This window comes from Homo sapiens, chromosome 5, assembly GCF_000001405.40.
Source record: "Homo sapiens chromosome 5, GRCh38.p14 Primary Assembly".
Taxonomy (NCBI): Eukaryota; Metazoa; Chordata; class Mammalia; order Primates; family Hominidae; genus Homo; species Homo sapiens.
The window spans coordinates 9,586,254-9,607,990 of NC_000005.10; the positions used below are offsets into that span (position 1 = coordinate 9,586,254).

Below are 21,737 nucleotides of genomic sequence, written 5' to 3' on the forward strand. Positions count from 1 at the left end.
AAAGGGAATGCTTCCAGTTTTTGCCCATTCCGTATGATATTGGCTGTGGGTTTGTCATAGATAGCTCTTATTATTTTGAGATACGTCCCATCAATACCTAATTTATTGAGAGTTTTTAGCATGAAGGGCTGTTGAATTTTGTCAAAGGCCTTTTCTGCATCTATTGAGATAATCATGTGGTTTTTGTCTTTGGTTCTGTTTATATGCTGGATTACATTTATTGATTTGCGTATATTGAACCAGCCTTGTATCCCAGGGATGAAGCCCACTTGATCATGATGGATAAGCTTTTTGATGTGCTGCTGGATTCGGTTTGCCAGTATTTTATTGAGGATTTTTGCATCAATGTTCATCAAGGATATTGGTCTAAAATTCTCTTTTTTGGTTGTGTCTTTGCCCGGCTTTGGTATCAGGATGATGCTGGCCTCATAAAATGAGTTAGGGAGGATTCCCTCTTTTTCTATTGATTGGAATAGTTTCAGAAGGAATGGTACCAGTTCCTCCTTGTACCTCTGGTAGAATTCGGCTGTCAATCCATCTGGTCCTGGACTCTTTTTGGTTGGTAAGCTATTGATTATTGCCACAATTTCAGATCCTGTTGTTGGTCTATTCAGAGATTCAACTTCTTCCTGGTTTAGTCTTGGGAGAGTGTATGTGTCAAGGAATTTATCCATTTCTTCTAGATTTTCTAGTTTATTTGCGTAGAGGTGTTTGTAGTATTCTCTGATGATAGTTTGTATTTCTGTGGGATCCGTGGTGATATCCCCTTTATCATTTTTTATTGCGTCTATTTGATTCTTCTCTCTTTTTTTCTTTATTAGTCTTGCTAGCGGTCTATCAATTTTGTTGATCCTTTCAAAAAACCAGCTCCTGGGTTCATTAATTTTTTGAAGGGTTTTTTGTGTCTCTTTTTCCTTCAGTTCTGCTCTGATTTTAGTTATTTCTTGCCTTCTGCTAGCTTTTGAATGCCTACACAGGTAATTCTTCTGCATTACACAATCAAGTGTACTCTGTGTAGCCACTAAACTTCAAGAAATTGTTTGGATTCAGATGTACTTAAATGATAAGAAACCCATTTATAACCCATTCACAGGCAGGGCCTGGGGAGGCAGGTTTCTCTAAACACTTTGCATAAAATTAGACAAGACCAAGAGAGTTTAGACAAAGCTCAGGCTGGTTCCATTTCAAATCTCAGATCCAGTGGACATGTGAATGAATACCTGGGATTATGTGTTTCTGGCATAGACCAGGCAATTTCACCTGCCACACAACTGTGCCTAATGAATGCTTTCTTCTCACTCCGAATGGATCTTCTGCCACATCTAAACACATGGTATGATTGTCAGTTGTTCTGTTACCATAAAGTTCTGAGACAAAACTTCCCATGTCAAAATAAATCAGTCTGCTAAGAATTTTTTGGTTCATCTGGAAACCTTGGGACTGCCTATATTTCCAGGACTATTTAAAAATATTTTAAAAGGTCTGCCAAAAAATGGGAATATATGAAGAATCAGCATGATAACTAGTTTGAACACATTTTTTATGAAGCAAACCACAGAATGCTTCACAGAGTTAATAAAAACATGAGTCCTCAGAACTCTTTATGACATTTGAGACTAAAATTGGCTTCACTTTAAATCACAGACTTTAGAGTCAGGCAGACCTAGGTATAAATCTTCTATTTACCTTTTACTTGTTGTGAGATTTTTGGCAAATGACTTAACCTCTCTGAGCCTCAGCTTTCTCATCTGTGAAACGGAAATGTCTGCTTCCCAGGGTTATGGGGGTTAAAGAATGAAACTGTGAAGAATGCAACTAGACTTCAACATCAGTCACTCCCAAGGTTCTTTCCTTTCTGTTTAGAAGTCACCTCTGTGGAAAAAGAAGGCAGATCCTACACAGGTGATGGGATTTTATGCTCAACCTGGACAACTTTCAATCCTTCCTTCTTATTTGTGTGCAAGTAATAAAATTAAAAAAGCTTGAGTTCCATAATCAACACAAAACCTCATAAAGCCCAGACCAAGCCATTTTCTTTCATTCTTTGCGTTCTTTCTTTCTGCTCATTTGGGAACATCTTTATCTTGTAGACACTTCAAGAAAATGACAGGCAACCATGGCTAGTGTGGGGACACAGGACTCTGTAAAGCGGGAGAAAAGATTCCAAGGGTGCCGTTAGCCTAGTTCTTTCTGCCCCTTCAGTAAAACAGTGTCAACAACCCTTGCATTCCTGCAGCTTCAGGACAGCATCCCGTGCTCAGAAGGTTCCCTGGACTTCCCGTCCTCCCAAGCAAGTTGAAACTTTTGTCTTTGTTCATCAGTGTTAGTGAGTATAGTCTAAGGAAGGTAGCACATTAGCTGCCTTTGCTTTCTTTCTCCATCCCTTGGTATCCTGAGGCGCATAAGGATTTAAGAGTTGCTGGGCACGGTGGTTCAGGCCTGTAATCTCAGCACTTTGGGAGGCTGAGGCGGGTGGATCACCTGAGGTCAGGAGTTGGAGACCAGCCTGGCCAATATGGCAAAACCCTGTCTCTACCAAAAATACAAAAGTTAGCTGGGTGTGGTGGCGAGAGGCTGTAATCCCAGCTACTCAGGAGGCTGAGGCAGGAGAATCACTTGAACCCAGAAGGTGGAGGTTGCAGTGAGCCAACATCGCACCACTAAACTTCCAGCCTGGTGACAAGAGCAAGACTCCATCTCCAAGGGGGAAAAAAAGTCAACTAACACAGTTCTGGGAGCTCCATGACACTGAGTTTAAGCAAAGTAGAGGAGCCCATTGTAGCCTACTCTGAGGACAGCGTTTTATTTCCAAATATTGTTCTTCCTAGATCTAGAAGCCAAACTTTCTATATTTTAAGCTACATGTCACACTCCTCTTCTACAACTAACATTAATTTTGCTGAGGAAAAAATACAAATGCATGGTACTGTCATAATAAAGCCGCTGCCAGGGGAAGAGAACACAGCTGATCTCCTCCTGCCCCCTCACCCTTCTGCTCAGCGCAGCTCAGAGCAATGCACACGTGTCAGAGGCCACAGAGAAACCTGCGGCCTTCTTTTGTCAACATTTCTTTTAGAACATTGGCAAAGATCTCAAATGTCAGTGTGTAGAGGTATGACAGATAAAGATTTGTAAGTGCGTGTGTGACAGAGAAAGAATATGTATGCTCAATGAAGAAGCTGTTGTACACATGGCTTTGGAGTCTGTGTGAGGACACCCTCAACCCTCCAGGTCAGCCTCTGGTCCTCCCATATGAATGCTATCCCTTGATTCCCACCAGGGTCATCCAACACTGGCCTCAAGCCAACTCCTCCTAGGAGCCTTTTCGACTCTCATGCTCATCAAACAGCTGCTCTCTGAACACATTCTAAAGCTCCCCTGCAGACTGGCCACCCACATCTCTCTCTTCACCTCCACATGAGGAATAGCAGTTTAATCATGCATAAGTTAATATTTCTCTGAATCTGTGCTTAACTCCCTTAGACTCCAGGATGCTGTGGAGTGTCTGTCAGTGCAAAGGGCATCATCACCATCACTCTTTCCTGGCTGGAGGTGGAGTAGGGGTGGGGTAAAATATGTAGGGCTCCTGTAGCCAGGGAGAAGCCTGATGAGTTGTCATTCCTCCTGATAGGGGCACATAGATCAAATCTATGATGGTAATAGAAGGGAATAAGACACCTAAGCTCATAAAGAGAAAGCAGTCCCACCAATCTTGTAATTAAAGAATAGCAAACTAATACAACAGTACGTGCATCTCTCACACTTACTACCTGGGTGGCTTGAAGGAACCTGGGAACCCTCTAGAGCCTCGTTTGTCAACATGGGAAATAAAGAACATAAAACCAAGCATATAGACCTGTCCAGAGAATTGTTAATGTAAAACCTGGCATATCATGGAGGAAATGGTGGTTGTAATGTCCCTGGTCGTGGGTACATCAATCATCTGCTGCTATTCTTTTTTTTTTGAGACAGGGTCTCACTCTGTCACCCAGGCTGGAGTGCAGCAGCAGGATCACGGCTCACTGCAACCTCTACTTCCTAGGCTCAAGCTATCCTCCTTCCTCAGCCTCCTGAGTATCTAGGACTACAGGTGCATGCCAGCACACCTGGCTATTTTTTTTTTTTTTTTTGAGATGGAGTTTCGCTCTGTCACCCAGGCTGGAGTGCAGTGGTGTGATCTCGGATCACTACAGCCTCTGCCTCCTGGGTTCAAGCAATTCTCCTGCTCAGCCTCCCGAGTAGCTGGGACTACAGGCACGTGCTGCCACGCCCTACTAATTTTTGTATTTTTAGTAGAGATGGGGTTTCACCCTGTTGGCCAGGATGGTCTTGATCTCCTGAACTCATGATCCACCCACCTCAGCCTCCCCAAGTGCTGGGATTACAGGTGTGAGCCACCGCACCTGGCCTGTATTTTTTGTAAGATAGGGTTTGGCCATGTTGCCCAGGCTGATTTCAAACTCCAGGGCTCTAGTGATCTGCCCACCTCTGCCTCCCAAAGTGTGAGGATTACAGGTGTAAGCCACCACACCTGCTTTGCAATTTTTTAAAAATTAATAAAACTGAAAGTTGGCCAAATTTAGGGCAAACAAGTAAAATAATAATTATGTACACTATTATAGAATGTGTAATCTTTTAAGGGCATTGGGTCATACATGCTCAGAATTCCCCAAATATGATCCATATCACTTGTTTCATTGATTATATTCTGGTGAATTTGTGATAAGAAAACAATTTTAAAATGCCCCATGTGTCATGATTATAAAACTATAATAATTAAGACAGTACCTGGTTATATGACTAAGATCAATGTGTAAGAATGGGAAGTCTAGTCACAAGGCCCACATATTTGCAGTTACCTGAAAAAGTGGCAGTGCCACGCAGAAGAGATGGTTGTTTTGGTTGATGCTAAGCCAGGTGCTAGGCCAACTGGATATCCATGAGAAAAAATGATTCTGACCCCAACTTCACACTAAACACAAAAATCAATGACAGATGGAGTGCAGATCTAAAATGCAAATGGCAGAACAATAAATCTTTTAGAAGAAAATATAAGAAAACATATTCGTGACCATGGAGTAGGCACAGATTTCTTAAACAAGATCCATAAGATGTTAATTATAAAGGAAAAAATGATAAATTAGAACCACATTAAAATCAAGAACTTCTATATATCAAGACATCATTCGGATTGAGAAGAAAACTCACTGAATGAGACAAATTTTTGAAAAATATGTATCTGAAAAAAAAAAAAAACTTGTATCCAGAATATATAAAGAACTACAAATCATCAAGAAAAAGGGAAGACTGCCCACTGGGCAAATGGCAAAAGACTGGAGCAGGCACTTCATGAAAAAGGGCACTCCAAAGAAAAAATAGACATATGAAAATATGCCCAACAAGGCTGGGGAGAAATAGGAACACTTTTACACTGTTGGTGGGAGTGTAAATTAGTTCAGCCCTTGTGGAAGAGAGTGTGGCGATTCCTGAAGGATCTAGAACCAGAAATACCATTTGACCCAGCAATCCCATTACTGGGTATACACCCAAAGGATCATAAATCATTCTACGATAAAGACACAAGCCCATGTATATTTATTGGAGCACTATTAACGATAGTAAAGACTTGGAGCCAACCCATATGCCCATCAATGATAGACTGGATAAAGAAAACGTGGCACATATACACCTTGGAATACTATGTAACCATAAAAAAGAATGAACTCATGTCCTTTGCTGGGACATGGATGAAGCTGTAAGCCATCATCCTCAGCAAACTAACACAGGAGCAGAAAACCAAACACAGCATGTTCTCACTTAAAAGTGAGATTTGAACAATGAGAACAAATGGACACAGGGAGGAGAACATCACACACCGGGGCCTGTCGGCAGGTGGGAGGCAAGGGGAGGGAGAGCATTAGGACAAATACCTAATGCATGCAGGGCTTAAAACCTAGCTGTTGGATTGATAGGTGCAGCAAACCACCACGGCACATGTATACCTATGTAACAAACCTGCACGTTCTGCACATGTATCCCAGAACTTAAAGTGAAGAAAGAAATACGCCCACGAGGCAACAGACAAATGTGATTAAGACCACAGGAAGGTATCACCACACAGTCATTAGGATGGCTAAAGTGCCAACGATGAAAAGTATGGACGTGGAACCAATGAAACCTTCTTACACTGCTGAACACACCATATGGCTGTGGCCCAGGGTTTAGAGCCAACAGAATCAAACAAGTATGTTCACAAAAGACATGCGTAAAAATGTTCATAGTGGCACTGTTTGTATAGACCCAAACTGGAAACTACTTAAAAGCCCATCCGCAGCAGAATGGATAAAAAAATTGCAGTGTATATTCACACATCGAATGCTATGCAGCTGTGATAACGAATGAGCTACAACTACATGCAACACAGATGAATGCCACACACAACAGTGAGGAAAGGAAACCAGACATAGCAGGCAGAGGTCATCTGCTTTAGAAGTCAGTAGTTACTGTCAAGCAGGGGAAAGGAGATGTCAGGGGATCCTCTGGTGCTGGTAATGCTGTGTTTCTTCTGGTTGCAAGGTGTGTTCAGTTTGTGAAAACTCCTTGAGCCATATCCTTATGATTTGTAGCATTTGTGAATCCTTATGGTTTGTATGCATTTCTGGGTGTATTCTATGCCTCAATAAAAAGTTTACCCTCCAAAGTACAATACATATGAAGACACACACACACAGACACACGTAAAGCTCACTAACACCAGATTGGAGAAGCAGTTTCAATGTCTCAGTCCTACCCTATAACTCCTGTAGACCTTCTAGCTGCTAACGCACAGAATACTTCATTTTCGACACATTCTGCCCCAGTTTATCTTGCATCTGAATTTCCTTATTGTATTATCAAATAAGAGATATATATATCAAACCTTATTAGTGTTTGTTTCCCATAAAATCCACTGCTCCATTTCCAGGTCTGGGCTTAAGACGCTGATCGGTGGGATTGCCAGCTGAGCAGATCTCAGACACTCCAGCTCCTCTTTTGGTTGAATCAGTGGGTCACTAATAGTTATTGACACCAACTGAGCTCAATATCACTGGTCATCATTACCAGTCCACGGAATCCACAGAGACAGTCATCCACATTTCCCGTTGTGATTGGTGAGGCATTAGAAAGGATAGATTTTCACAGGGCGAGGTTGTGAAAATGACTTGAAAAATCTCAGTGGCTAACAGGTAAAGGCATGTCTTCCTCGCACCACAGGTTCTGCTCATCTTCACGATCCAAGAACTCAGGTGACCCAGGTCTCCCTGTTTCCATCATCAAGATGGGAAAGGAGCAGGTGCTGGTTCTTAAAGCTTCTATCCAGAACACTCATATCTCATTGACAAAGACAAGCCCGAGATTCTCCTCAAGGATGTGCCATCCTCCATGAAAGGGGCGCTGAATACTGTGGATTCTGGTGCCTCCCACCGTGGGGGCAGCTAGGGGGTATCAGCAACACCGGATGCTGACAAAATCACATTGATTTTCTTCCCAGGTGTGGTTTGGAGAGAGGAGCACTTTGGGTAATGAGGGAAAGGAGGCACAGCCAGCCAGCCAGTTAGCAGGATCAACCCTGGTCCTCAGTGGGTGATATTCCATCCAGTCAATTATATATATATATATAATATATACTCTTATTAAGTATATATTATATATTAAGTGTATATATATATATATATACTCTTATTAAGGAACAAAAGTTGGGCCAGGCATGGCTCATGCCTGTAATCCCAACACTTTGAGAAGTTAAGGCAGGAGGCCTTAGGAGTTGAACTTGAGCCCAGGAGTTCGAGACCAGTCTGGGCAACAAAGAGAGACCCTATCTCAAAAAAAAAAATAAAAATGATAAAACCAGCTGGCCATGATGGCACACAATTGTAGTCCTAGCTACTCAGAGGCTGAGGTGGGTGCATCGCTTGGACCTGAGAGTTCGAGGCTGCAGTGAGCCATGATTACACTTACACTTACTGCACTCCAGCCTGGGTGACAAAGCAAAACCCTGTCTCAAAAACATATTTAAAAAGAAGAAAAGTTATTTAATGATATTTGCTATCACTGCTAAAACCTGGTAAGAAAGACTTTCTTCAGGATCATCTCGACAGGCATAGGGACTACTGCAATGGGATTTTGCAGTGTGGGAGAGAGATTGGGCTGAACTCTGAATACAACCTGGACAAGTGGGAATTTCTAGCCCAGGAGCATGGTGGGGGTCAGTTGATGGAAAATTACAAGGAATAAACATCAAGGATAAGGGGAATTCTGGCTAAGCTGACCTAACGGGTTTCTTACTGAAGACAGGCCAGGGTGATCAGACTATATCTGTGGAATGGTGGAGGTGGAAGATCTTGATCAAATATAGACGAGATAATGAGGGTGGGGAGTTCTTGCTAAACTGACTTGGCCGGGATCTTGCTAAACTGAACTTTACAAGGAAGTGCACAGATGGGCCCAGGAGAAGGTTCAGGAGCCTGACTAAAGTTTAATCAAAAAAGAATCTTTGTCATTCTGCAAGCTCAGAGGGACTCTTGGGTGATCAATAATAATTTAGCTCCATTTTCTTTTGTTTGTCCAATGTTGTACTTTAAAGAACACCTAAAGAAAAAATAAAATACAATCAAAATTTGGAGAAATAATTTCTCCATGAAGATGTGAAGGGCTCTGTATTTATTTAACTTAAAGACAAGGAACAGAGTCAACAGCCATTAAGTAAGTGACTTGATAATACATAAACACATTTCCTCATTCCTCTTAGAGATGAGACAAAAAGAAATTATTTATTTAACAGCAGAGCCATCTTAGGCTAAACACTAGGAAGAGCTGACTTTGCATTTTATTGTCTGAGGAGATTGTGAGGTCTTAACATGCCCCTGAATGTAGTATCACTGAATTAATTTGGGGATTCCCTCCCCCCATCAAATTTGGAAACATTTATTGAGGCTTTGCTCATTATTTAGTAAAGTTAACCTCCTCTTTATAAGAGAAGTGTACTGAACATATGCATAATATTTGCAGTTCTATAAAGTTTAAAATAAAAAAGAAGTTTATATCACAGGTGGCAGGGGCTCAATATAAGTTGTTAATTTTATTGAGTGAATTATTTTACCATAAAAGTATGTTTCAGCATTTTCTAGAAACCCTTATTTTGTCTGAGAATCTGATAGAGCTGCTCTCAATACTTACATGGCTCAGCTGGCAAAGGGAGGACAAAATGATTGTAAATAGCTTTGCTTTTCCTCACTGAAAGCCTTTTTAGGTTTTGAAGCCTCTAATGAAGGGAGAAGACACTGGCTCCACACTCCAGGTACAGAGCTGTTTTTGATAAGATGAAAAGGATGTTTTTCTTACCAGGTATCATTCTCTTCAGAAGTAATGTTTCCTACACAAAGTGACTGCATGTCAAATGTGCAATTTGTCTCTCCAGAGCACAGTGACTGGCTTCTTCGTTCCTGATATAATGGCTAGCTCTGGATTTTTCTTGGTAATTTCTATATCTCTGTTTTCCTCTCAATTGTAATATTCCTGCATCAGAAGACGAACTCAGAAGTTGTGGTTCTGCGAAAAAAATTAGTTTCTACTGTGAATTTTCTTTTCTTATCAAATTGTACTAAAATAACTGTTCACAACAGTGTTTCACCAAATCGTTCTCAAATTTGGTGAAATTTCATTTAATTCTTCCCATTGATTTAAAACATAAGGTATATTGGATGCCTAATTATTGCTGCAATTATGTTCTGAAATACATAACATAATATTGACCAACTATATTTTCTATGGTGGTAAAACATAGATAATGCACACTGACCATTTTAATCCTTTCAAGGTGTACTATCAAGCTGTGGTTTTCTTTGACAGATGACACCATCCTACAGCGGGAGACCTTCTCCCCGGTTCACACCAGGACTCCAGAAAGGACACCCCAGCGTATCCTACTGTGGAGCACATAACTGGATGCTAAAGAAGAGGTCTGCATTAACTGACTGCCCAGCAGCTCCTTCCCCAGCTGAGCTCATTGCCATCTAATCCATTGCAAATATACAGGAGCGTGCCTTGGCTGTCTCTTTCGGAGTGGAGAAGCTTGACATTTGGATACGATTGGTTGCAGAAGTTAAGAACTAAGTTTCACTTCTTTATTTAACCTGAAAGTTCTCTTAATTCCCTGCATCATTGTGCCAATAATTCTGCTTTCTGAGACTTTGCTGGATGAAGAAGACATCTGGATTTGATTTTAGAGAAAGAAAAAGCCAAGACAATGAAATAAGTGTGTTTGTAAATGTAACTTTTAGGTCCGTTACATGGTTTTGTCCTGTTTCTTCCCACCCCCACTCCCAATTCCCCTTCCTGTTAAAACCTCAAGTCAAATCACAAACCTATCTGGCTGCTTTCAAATGTAAAAGAAGACTTTACACCAAAAATACAGACTTCTCTAATGGTCTAAACTACAACTTCAAAACTTAAATTGTTCCTATGGATGCAAATGCTTAAGAAATTGGTCGTAAAATAATCTCTCTTTAAAATATAAACCTTAGCATTTTATAATGACAACAAACCATGTTTCTCATTGGCAAAAGCACTGCTGTTTCTAAGTCTCTCGTCTCACAAGAATGAGAGCCTCACTGGTCTCCCCCCAGCACCTAGAGCAGGACCTGGCAAAGAGCTGGCCCTCCTTCAATATCTGCATAATGAATAACTCTCCATGGAAACCAGTGCCACTGTGGTCAGTGACAACGTGCTGTAACTTACTCCGAAGACAGCAGGGGCATGGGTGACACCGGGAGCTCAGGCCATTTGCACCAGGCTCTCTCTGGGTCTTTGTTTATGCCCCTTCCCCTTCCTCCTCCTCTGTCACTGGCCTCTCCATATGAAGTCTCTCCTTTTCTTTCCCTCCTCACCATGGCCTTTGTGCCTTTTCTTCTCCTTCCCTTTAATTCCCACTTTCTTCCTTTGAGCTTTCTCTTCCCTTCCTCTCATTTTCCATTGTTCTCCTCCCCTTTCCACCTTCTCCTTTATGTAGTAAAAACATGGATCTGACGTGTATTTTAAATTGGCATTTTAATATCCTATCAGCTTCCATTCTTCATTTTTCTCATGGAGCATACAAATTGTATAAGTGTTTACCTGGCAACAACTATGTTTTGCTTGTTTGTGGCAAAAAAAAAAAAATTGCCACGATGACAAGTGCCTCTTGCCAAGTCGGGTGTGCAGGTGCAGAGTCACACCCAGCCGCCCTCAAGGTCCACACGTTGCCCAGTCATCTGGCGGTTTTCTCTCTAACCCAAGCATCCTGGTGCCTGCGATGAGGGGAATAGGTAACCCTATTGCTACACTCCCAGCTTATGAAGAACACAGAACACAGAGCTCAAGGGAAAAGAGAATTCTTTTGGAGACAAAAGATAATTTTGTACTTCTAATCTGGATCCCTAAGGTCGTGCCCTACCTCCCCTATGACCATCCCCATCTTTACTGAAGTATAATTGACTAATACAAATTGTATATAGTTACGGTGGACAATGTGATGTTTTGATATGTGAGTACATTGTGGTATGATCACTATAATCAAGCTAATCAGCATATCCATCACCTCACATAGTTGCCTTTTGTTTTTTGCCTGTGTATGGTGAAAAAATTTAAGATCTACTCTGTTAGCACTTTTCAAGCATACAATGCAGAGTTGTGCCCTTAGTTAAAGGACTCGGGGGCTTTGTGAGGTCTGAATCCTATTGATTATCCAGTGCCTGCTTTTTCCCCCTTCCAGTTTTTCTGTTCAGTTAATGTTGGTGCCACATACATTAAATTGAGTATGTGGACAGCAGAGTGCAGTTCCTGAATAAAGAGAATATGAAAATCTATTACTTATTGCTTAAGTTAACAGGAATAAGTGTTAGGCTTATTTCTGATTCTATAGGACAATCAATACCTGTTTTTATCAAGTACCTGCCTCCTTAATTAAGAGCAATAGCTGACAAAAGTTAATTAGCAATGTCAACATGACCCTATCACGTTGCCCTGCTCTGACTTCAAAGAAAATTTAGATAATGTTAAAGGATTAGAAAAGAATAACAGAAAGTCCAGCATGCCTACTTTAAAACACCTGAGTTTTCAAGTTCTCCAGATATAAGTTATATATAACTTTTTATTATATAACATATTATATAATCTGAGGGAAAAAAAATGCCACGATGACAAGTGCCTCTTGCCAAGTCGGGTGTGCAGGTGCAGAGTCACACCCAGCCGCCCTCAAGGTCCACACGTTGCCCAGTCATCTGGCGGTTTTCTCTCTAACCCAAGTATCCTGGTGCCTGTGATGAAGGGAATAAGTAACCCTATTCACTCCCAGCTTATGAAGAACACAGAACACAGAGCTCAAGGGAAAAGAGAATTCTTTTGGAGACAAAAGATAATTTTGTACTTCTAATCTGGATCCCTAAGGTCGTTCCCTACCCCCCCCATGACCATCCCCCATCTTTACTGCAGTATAACTGACTAATACAAATTGTATATACAGTGGACAATGTGATGTCCCTCTTTCTTCCTGCTAATATCACATACATTTGTACTGTTTCTTTTGAAAACTTGTAGAAAACTTGGAGGGGAAAGCATTTCTAGCCTCTCCTGTTGGTCAGTGGATTAATTTGCCTCCAGTAAGTGTCTCTGTGGCTTACTGTCATTCAGCTGATACCGAAGCTTTCCCTTCCTGGATGCTCAGGACATGTGATTTGAGGATAAGTTTACCTGGGCTTTTCAGGCATCTTTGTTTGCTTCTTTTCATTCCAAAGCTTTTGCTAGGAACAGGGAAGCTGACACATCAGCAGGCGAGGACCCTTCAATAGTGTGGAGAGTGAGGGAAGGTTGAACAGCTAGAGAACACAAAGGGAAGAAAATAATATACTTTGCCATTTCTATAACCTTAATACAATTTTAATAAAATTTTTCTTTGGAGGCTTTAAATTCATTTCTTTAAGAAGCTTTGTTGAGCAAAAATATTCTTACAATTGCCATTAAGTGCACCATTTTGTTCAAGATGAACCCATTAAACTTTTTCTTTATCATAATTAAGCCCAATATGCCAAATGCCAAAGATTAGCTATCAGCTTAGTACAAACCAGGAAGCTGAAGAATAGCTGTATATTCATTAAGCCCCAAAGAGTGTGTTTTTGTTTTGTTTTGATGCTAAGGAAAGGCAGGTGGCTCAAACCCAGGGCAGTGTCTTTGTCTCCACAGGATAAGCCTATTTAACTCAGCTTAGTTCATATCTTCAGATGCAATCCTTAGCAGACCAGTGACCTCGGGGAACCCTAAAGCCAGACAGACCACCTGCAGGGGAGAGAAGCGGATCAGAGGAAGGTCACAGGTGGCATGAGTGGTGGGCTCTGACAGGAATAAGCCCGTTAATGGGCTGTTATGGAAGGAAAGCTGGTCATCTGGCCTCCCACCCCTGGCCAGGAGAACCTGGACTGCAGTTTCAATCTCACTGCATGCCATTTAGATGTTTGTCTGCAGTGCTATCTGTGGGGTTCTTGAACTTGTGACTTTTAAAAGACAATACAAGGATGGACTGGTAATGACTGACATTTAGTTGAATGAAAATTACCCAGAAGTTTACCAAGCAATAAACTTCAATCTAACTAGATACCCAATAAACTGTATACAATATGCAAATGCAGAATTGACTGACTGAGAACATTAATTATTTTCCTGTGGTCCAATTATGAAAGGAAAAGAAGCTTTTTTACTTTGCTCTTTTCAAATGCAAAGTGGTTATTGGGAGAAAAAAGGCTGGATTCTTACAAGTGAAGCAGTATAAAGAAGGGGTAGGTAAAGGAGAGTGGACGAACCTACTCAGAGAAGGATTCACTGGGCAGAGGAGGGGTAGCAATGGGGGTTCTGCTGGGCTGGAGACCTGGACTCCCAGGTAGCACCCCACTTGTGACTCACCTATGAAGGTAGCTTGTGGTGACTTGAAGGCTTATCTCTAGGAGCTATGACCTTTGAGGCTGCATCAAAGACCCAAATTATCAAATTAGTCACAAGAGAGTAGATGCCGTGAGGAGCAGGTTGTTCTACCATCAGGTGGGCTATGGAAAAGTCAGCAAACATGGCTGATGGACCAAATCCGGTCAGCCTCCTGTTTTTGTAAATAAAGTTTCATTGGCACATAGCCAAACCCATTTGTATACTTATGACCTATGGCTGTTTTCATACTTCAGAAGCAGAGTTGAGTAGTTGTGACAGAGACCGTATACATAGTCTGCAAAGCCCAGATTATTTACTAGCTGGCTCTCTACTGAAAAAAATATGCTGACCTCGGAACAGTTAGTGTGGACTGTGGGCTGAGAGTAGATTGCACCCGCTATTCTCCCCTTACCCTGCAGTCAGGAGATCCTTTGCAAATTTTCTGGAGCCCTTAAGTCCTCCAGGATAGTCAAGTGATCCGAGGCCAATGAACGATGACTGATATCACATATCTCTTCATCTTCCCAATTCTTGCCAGCTTAGTTCCAGACTGAAGTATGAGATGATATTTTATATTTATATTATGAGCACTGTAACACAAATTTATACCTCCTAGGTGCGTCATTGGTTTCCTATTGTTGCTGTAACAAATTGCCACAAACTAAGTGACTTAAAGCAACACAAACTGATTATCTTACATTTTGCAGGTTAGAAGTCCAAAATCATTCTGTGTGAACTAAAAATCAAAGGGTCATCTGGGCTCGGCTCCTTTGGAGGCTCTGAGGCGGATTCAGATTCTTACCTTTTAGAAGCCTCCTCTAGTCCTCAGCTTGCGGCCCCGTCCTCCATCTCCAAAGAGACAGCATCTTCTCTCCTCTCTGACCTCTGCTTCTATTGTCACATCCTCTTTGACTCTGATCCCCATGCTTCTCTCTTATCAGGGCCCTTGTGATTGCATTCAACCCACCTGGATAATCTCTCTGTCTTAGATCTTTAATGTAATCATACCTGCAAAGCCCCTTTTGTCATGTAAAGTCACATTCCCAGGTGCTAGGGATTAGAACGTGGAAGTCTTTGAGGGGCGTCATTCAGCCAGTCACACATAGAGAACTTTGAGGCTTTGATACCAACTTCAACTCTATAAAGAACTGCTGAGAAGCCATGGCTATCTAGGGGGAATGGGACTATTCTGGTCCTGTCTAGAGTCTCTACTTTCTATTCATTCTCAACTCTCATTCAGGAAAGGGATGGGTGGGGAACAGCACAGACAGTCACTGGTTCATAGCTCTTATCAGCACTGCCTGCCAAGCGAGATTGGCCAGGGACCCAGCCTTGGCAACGGAGTGGGCACTTGGACAACCTTATTTAGTAACCTTGGAGGACCCCTCTTGTCCTCTACCGCCCTGACTCATATTTCCACTCCCTGGGAGGGGCTTCCTTGTCTACATCATGTTCCTCCATGGCCATACCTTAGGTGGACATTGGGGAGAATGCCTTTCTAGGGGAAGCAGGTGTAGGTTTTGCAGTGCAGTACTTGTTGCAGGTTTAGGGATCAGGACACTGCTGTGAGGGGTCAAATACTCAAAGGCTATTTGTGACCAGACTCCAACTAGTGTTACAGTTTTCCTAAAAAAAAAAAAAAAAAAAAAAAAAAAAAAAAAAAAAAAACGCTTCTAATTTGTTATGGACTGAAATGTGTTCCTAACTCCTAGTATCTCAAAATGTGACTCTATTTGGAGGTAAGCTCTTTAAAGGGTAGTTATGTCAAAATGAGGTTGGATGAGTGGGCTGTCATCCAATATGCTGGCGTTCTTATAAGAAGAGGAGATTGGGGGGGCACGGTGGCTCACGCCTGTAATCCCAGCACTTTGGGAGGCTGAGGCAGGCGGATCACCTGAGGTCAGGAGTTCAAGACCAGCCTGGCCAACATGGTGAAACCCCGTCTCTACAAAAATACAAAAATCAGCTGGGCATGAAGGCAGGTGCCTGTAATCCCAGCTACTCGGGTGGCTGAGGTGGGAGAATCGCTTGAACCTGGGAGGCTAAATTTGTAGTGAGCCAAAATTGCGCCATTGCACTCCAGCCTGGGCAACAGAGTGAGAATCCATTTCAGAAAAAAAAAAAAAAGAAGAAGAAGAAGGAGATTGAGACACTAACGCATGCAGAGAGATGACCATGTGAGGAGAACATCAGAAGAAGATGGCCACCTACAAACAAGGAGGGAGGCCTCAGAAGAAACCAACCCTGCTGGCACCTTGCTCTCAGATTTCCAGCCTCCAGAACCATGAAAAAATAAATTTCTGTTGCTTAAGCTGCTGAATGTGTGGTGCCTTATAGTGGCAGCCTGAGCAGACTAACAGAGATTCTAAGCAATGGGAGCTCCGTAAGGTGTGTGTGTTGGGGGAGACATCAGAGAATTGTTAGCAGCCGACACTCACAGCAGCTGGGGGCACTGGCCCAGGAAAGGGCTTCTGGGCAGCCACCAAAACAGCATCTACCCCAGCGGGCAAGTCCCCAGTCACAAAAAGACAGTGCAGATTCTGGAGAATCAAACAGAATAAGAGCTTTCGACTGCTCTATGCTATGAAACACAAAAATTGGGACACCACCAGAAACTTTTGAAGTTGGAGCTTGAAGTCTCTTTGCAGGCAGAATATGTTTTGCCTTAAAAATAGCACCCAATGATAACCCTTATCAACATCCATTCTGCAGATAACAGGCCTCCCTCAGGGACCATATAGGTGCCATTCTCCCCTAAAGTCAACTGCAGCCTCAAAGAGCCATTGAATTCATAAGGCAGCATGGAGATATAGGTCATGTTTTCTTCCCTCCAAACCTAGAAGCTTGTAAGGGTACATGCTCTCTAGACACAAAATACCATATTTCCTTTGCATCTTAATCCACTCAACCCTGGTTGCAGTCACCTTCTTATTATTCACTCCATACAAGATAGATGAATTTTCACGATTTTCCAGTTTCCGTTCTGGTTCTCCTGTTCCTGGTAGGACAACAGAGAATACTATCTTTCTCTTTCTTCAAAGATTCTGTCCTGTGAGAATGTTCCTCTCCAGTGATCTAGTATAAACTGCACCATCCAGCTCTACTCATGATTTCGCTGACCATAGATTCTTTGTGACATAGTTTCTTATTTCTCATTTCTCCTGTGATGTTATACCCTTTGTCAAGCACAGAAGAAATAATGGAAACTACATTCACCTTTATTTTCTATGCTTGATAGAACTAGTGGTGTATAGCAGTTGGCATCAAAAGATGAAGGTACAATAAGACATTTGATTAGTAATCAAAGAGGTGAATGAAATAAGATGGAATGCCAAGTTACACAGTGGTATAACCCAATGGTGAGTCGGATATGTTTTTTTAAAAGCCTACACATTTTCTTCTGCATAGGACATCAGACAATGAAATACAAACATGTAGAGTTTTTTTGTTACAATCAAAGCTAGAAAAGTTTAGGGTATTTTCTTAGTAAAGAGTCTTCGTATGGTTAGGAAGAGGTCTTCAGGCAAATGTACCATTTCTCTATAGGAGAAATAGCTCTTTCTTCTAACAACTGCTGAATTTAGTTTTCAGATATTAAATGTGTATAAACCGAATGGACATCCATCAAAAGGATTGAATTGGTGCAAAAATGAGTGACTTTTGGGCCTCTCTTTATGGTTGCTTTGAGAACTGCTGCATCTAAAAGTGGACTACAATGGAAGGTGTAGATCCAGCAGAGGAACACACTGGGGAATAAGAGGGGCAATTTTAAGCATGTAGGTGATCTCAAGTAGGCTGATCTCAAGTAGGCAGACCACAAAGGATCTGAAGCCACCAACAATGTTGAGCAAAGATGTCCAGAGACACTTACGCGGGTCCTGCATTGATGGTCATCCTTGCAGGTCTATGGGTGGGGTAGGGCTATGGGAGGCTCCCAGTTCAATAAAATGAGGCAAGTATAGAGAAGAGGGTCTCTGTTATTCACAGGACCATTATTGAAATCAGTTCCAGATATGTTTGAGTAATAATAGTTCAACAAGAGATGGATTCCATGGGAAAGAAACTTGCAAAAGACTAAGAAGGGAAGCAAGTCTATCAATACGCAATCAGGACTGTATCCCACAAACGAATGCTGTAGTTCCTCTCTTCAGTCAGGACTTACTGAGGATTTGCTACATGCATTCACGAGGTCAGCACTTGGCATCAGTTGAGCAGTATCCCTTCAGCAGTATCCCTGAAGCTAACGTTTCAGTGGGAGAGCAGGTGGTGACCCTTCTGTAAAGCAGGTGAGGGGCTGAAGAATGGAGAGGAAGGGGGTGGAGTTTTCTACAGCGTGTTCATGGAAGGCTTCCCTGAGTGATACAGTGAAAGGAAATGAGTCACGCAGAGATCTTGGGGTGAGATGGGAGGAAGAGGGAATATTCCAGGCAAAGAGACAGTGACAGTTAATTTTAGGTGTCCACTTAACTGAATTAAGGAATGCCTAAAAACTGGGGAAGATTGCTTTCGGGTGCATATGTAGGGATATTTCCAGAGGAGACTGGCATGTGAGTTGGTGGACTGAGTGGGGAAGGGCCACCCTCAATGCATGTGGGCACCATCCAATCAGCTGGAGGCCCGATAGAAGAAAAAGGCAGAGGAAAGGTGAATTCACCGTCTCTCCTGGAGCTGGGGCACCCTTCTTCTCCTGCCCTTGCACATCAGAATTATAGGCTCTCTGGCCCTCCTTGGATTCTCAGGCCTTTGGCTTCAGACCCAGAGATACACTACTGACTTCCGTGGTCCTCAGGCCTTTGGACCTGGACTGAGCTTGGTTTCTCTAGTTCTTCAGCTTGCATATGGCTTATTTTGAGACTTCTCAAATTCCATAATCTCATGAGGCACTTCCTTTAATAAATCCCATCTGTCTGTCTATCTATCTAGCTAAATCTTCACCTATGTTTATTGTATTGATTCTTTCTGGAGGACTCTAATACAAAGACTAAGTGCAAAGATCCTGATGTCACAATCAGAGTTGCAAGTTCCAGCAACAAGAACATTGGTGAATCTGGGACGGGTATTGAAGGAGATGATATCAAAGAGACAGACAGTGGCTGGACATGTGCAGCTCTGTATGGGACTCCCACCCTTCATGGGATGGAATTCCACCCTTCATTGTAGGTTTTGTTTAGGGAAGTAATGCCATTTGATTTCTCTATTAAGAAGGTGGCTAGGTGGCCACAGCTGCTCATAAAATCCATTCTGAGATCATCAAGTGTAAAACCCAGTGCATTTCATGAAGCGTTTTACTTGATGCTCACGGCAACCCCATAGGAGCTCACTTATTATATTTTTGCCTGGAGTCACACAGACAGTGACCGAATTTGGAGTCAAACCAAGACTTGTAGAATAGCCACAGTACTGCATTGCATCACAAGGGAGTGTGGGTGAACGGGCGAGAGTAACTCAGCACAGAGAAAATTAGAAAGAAGTGAGGTCCAAGGGTTGGCCTCAGCTGCCATCACCAGAGAGCACTGCAGTGGGGATTGGGACCTGAAATCCAGGAATGGGCTCTAGTTCCATTAGCTCATACTAGTTTGTTGGCTGAGGCAAGCCATTTAAATCAATCTGGACCTGCTGCTTCACAAATAAGGTTGCTGAACTCCAAGACCCCAAGTTACATTTTGCTCTCGGTGATCCATATACTGTATAAATGAAGTATTACACTATCAAAATATTTTATATTGAATTTTATTATGGTTTATTAGGTTTTATAGAATTAAAAATTATAGGAGTAGAATGGTCTCAATCAGCTCATTTTATTTATTTCTTAGCCTTATGGATGAAAAATAATGAAAACCACAAATAAATAAAAATAATATCTTTGCAGCCAGGCGCAGTGGCTCATGTCTGTAATCCCAGCCCTTTGGGAGGCTGAAGTGGGTGGATCATCTGAGGTCAGGGGTTCGAGACCACCCTGTCCAACATGGTGAAACCCCATCTCTACTAAAAATACAAAAATTAGCTGAGAATGGTGGCACACATCTGTAGTCCCAGCTACTCGGGAGGCTGAGGCAGGAGAATCTCTTGAACCCAGGAGACAGAGGTTGCAGTGAGCTGAGATCGTGCCATTGCACTCCAGCCTGGGTGACAGAGTGAGACTCCATCTCAAAAAAAAAAAAATCATTGCAAATATGTATTAATATACATTGCATACACAGACATGTTTCATATAAAGACATACTTGTACACACATACACATACTCCCCCAGCCACCAGTACTTCTGTGTCATAAACTCTACCCCAGTGTGACTGGTGCTTTCTGGAGCTCCACCAAAGAGTTCCTGCCCCAGCAATCCCTGATTTTACCCTCCGGAGACAATCACTGTCTAAATAGGTTGGCTCTATCTCTTGTGGACACGGACCAAGTTTACTAACTTCTCAGCATCTTCAAACACTCTTGGGTATGTCTGGGGAATTTCTAGCCTTGTGAGTCCCACCTTCCCAAAGCAGACCCCAAAGGACTCAGAGTTGCAACTTTGACAGCTGGGTCGCAGGAGTTTTCAGGCTCCACCAAGCTGATCCTCACACCCTAGACCCTCCCTTGAGAAGGATCAGCCTGAGGAAGGAGGCTCCACCGGGATCTACCTTTGGTGGAGGCATCTGACTCCTGGAGGTGACAGCCTGCTGTTCTAGCCACTGGAGCAGGTGCACCATGGGACGTAGGGTAGCAGCAGCTGTGTCCAAGCTTGACATCAGGGCAAACTGTAGCATCCCAGGCTTAGTGACAGGGGGTAGGGGGACTCTCACTGTCAGGCCAATTCCTGGAAGCAGAGAGCCTATTTCTCTAGGCCTCTTAAGGATGTCGTGGACACCCCAGTCTACTCTTTTTCACTGAATCCACCATAATGAACTATTTTTCACTTGTAACTAATAAAACGGTGTGATCCTGACTGCCCAATACTTGTTGAAACATGTCTCCAGAGCCTATACACATTTAAGCAACATGTATTTTTATACTTAACAATGGAACTCAGCTGTACACACTGGAAAGCTTAGACCCATTCTTTCTTTTTGACTGCCCCATGGTATTTGATGGTATTGTATTGGTGAAGCATACTTTGCTTAACAAGCCCCCTATTGCTTTACATTTAAGAGATTTTTCTTATTTTTACTGTTCTATACAATGTAGCCTGACACACATTTGTCGTTTTCAATTCACTCTGTGGCTTTCGTACAGATTACTAAACAGTAAGATTGCTGAAAGATTATATATGCACAGTAAAATTTTTAACATATAAAAACAAATTTTATTTTCAAAGGTTATTCCAATTTATACCTGCATTAAATATTTATGAAGACACCAATTTTTCCCCACCCTTGCTAATACTTGATGTTATTAGTCCTTTGAAATGTTGCCATTTTGAAAGGCAAAACTCCACCTCATTTTAATTTATATTTTTAAATTTATTAGTGATTTTTAGCATATTTTTACATATTTACTGGCCATTTGTATTTTTCTTCTGTTTTACCTATTTATATTTGCCCATTTTCTATTTTTTTACTGACAGAGATCACATTATATGTTGTACATAATAATATAGCACATATTGCATGTAATTTGTGTATATTCTGTTGCAAATACTTTCCCTAAGTCTCTCATTTATCCTTTAATTTTATTAGGGTATTTTCTACTACACAAAGTTCTATTTAGCACTTGCTGGAGTGATTCAACTTTAGAGGATTTAACAATATAATTAAGTAAATTAATA

The 21,737-nt window shown here is 41.9% G+C and overlaps 1 long non-coding RNA gene across 1 annotated transcript; it reads right to left on the minus strand.

Moving 5' to 3' along the window:
* Positions 1-8,563: 8,563 nt before the first annotated feature.
* On the minus strand, positions 8,564-14,163 carry LOC101929359 (uncharacterized). The gene is made up of 4 exons (XR_001742497.2): positions 13,969-14,163; positions 12,766-12,890; positions 9,382-9,588; positions 8,564-8,628 (listed from the first exon to the last, which is right to left on the minus strand). It is a non-coding gene; the product is annotated as an uncharacterized LOC101929359 (long non-coding RNA).
* Between the last annotated feature and the right edge of the window lie 7,574 nt (positions 14,164-21,737).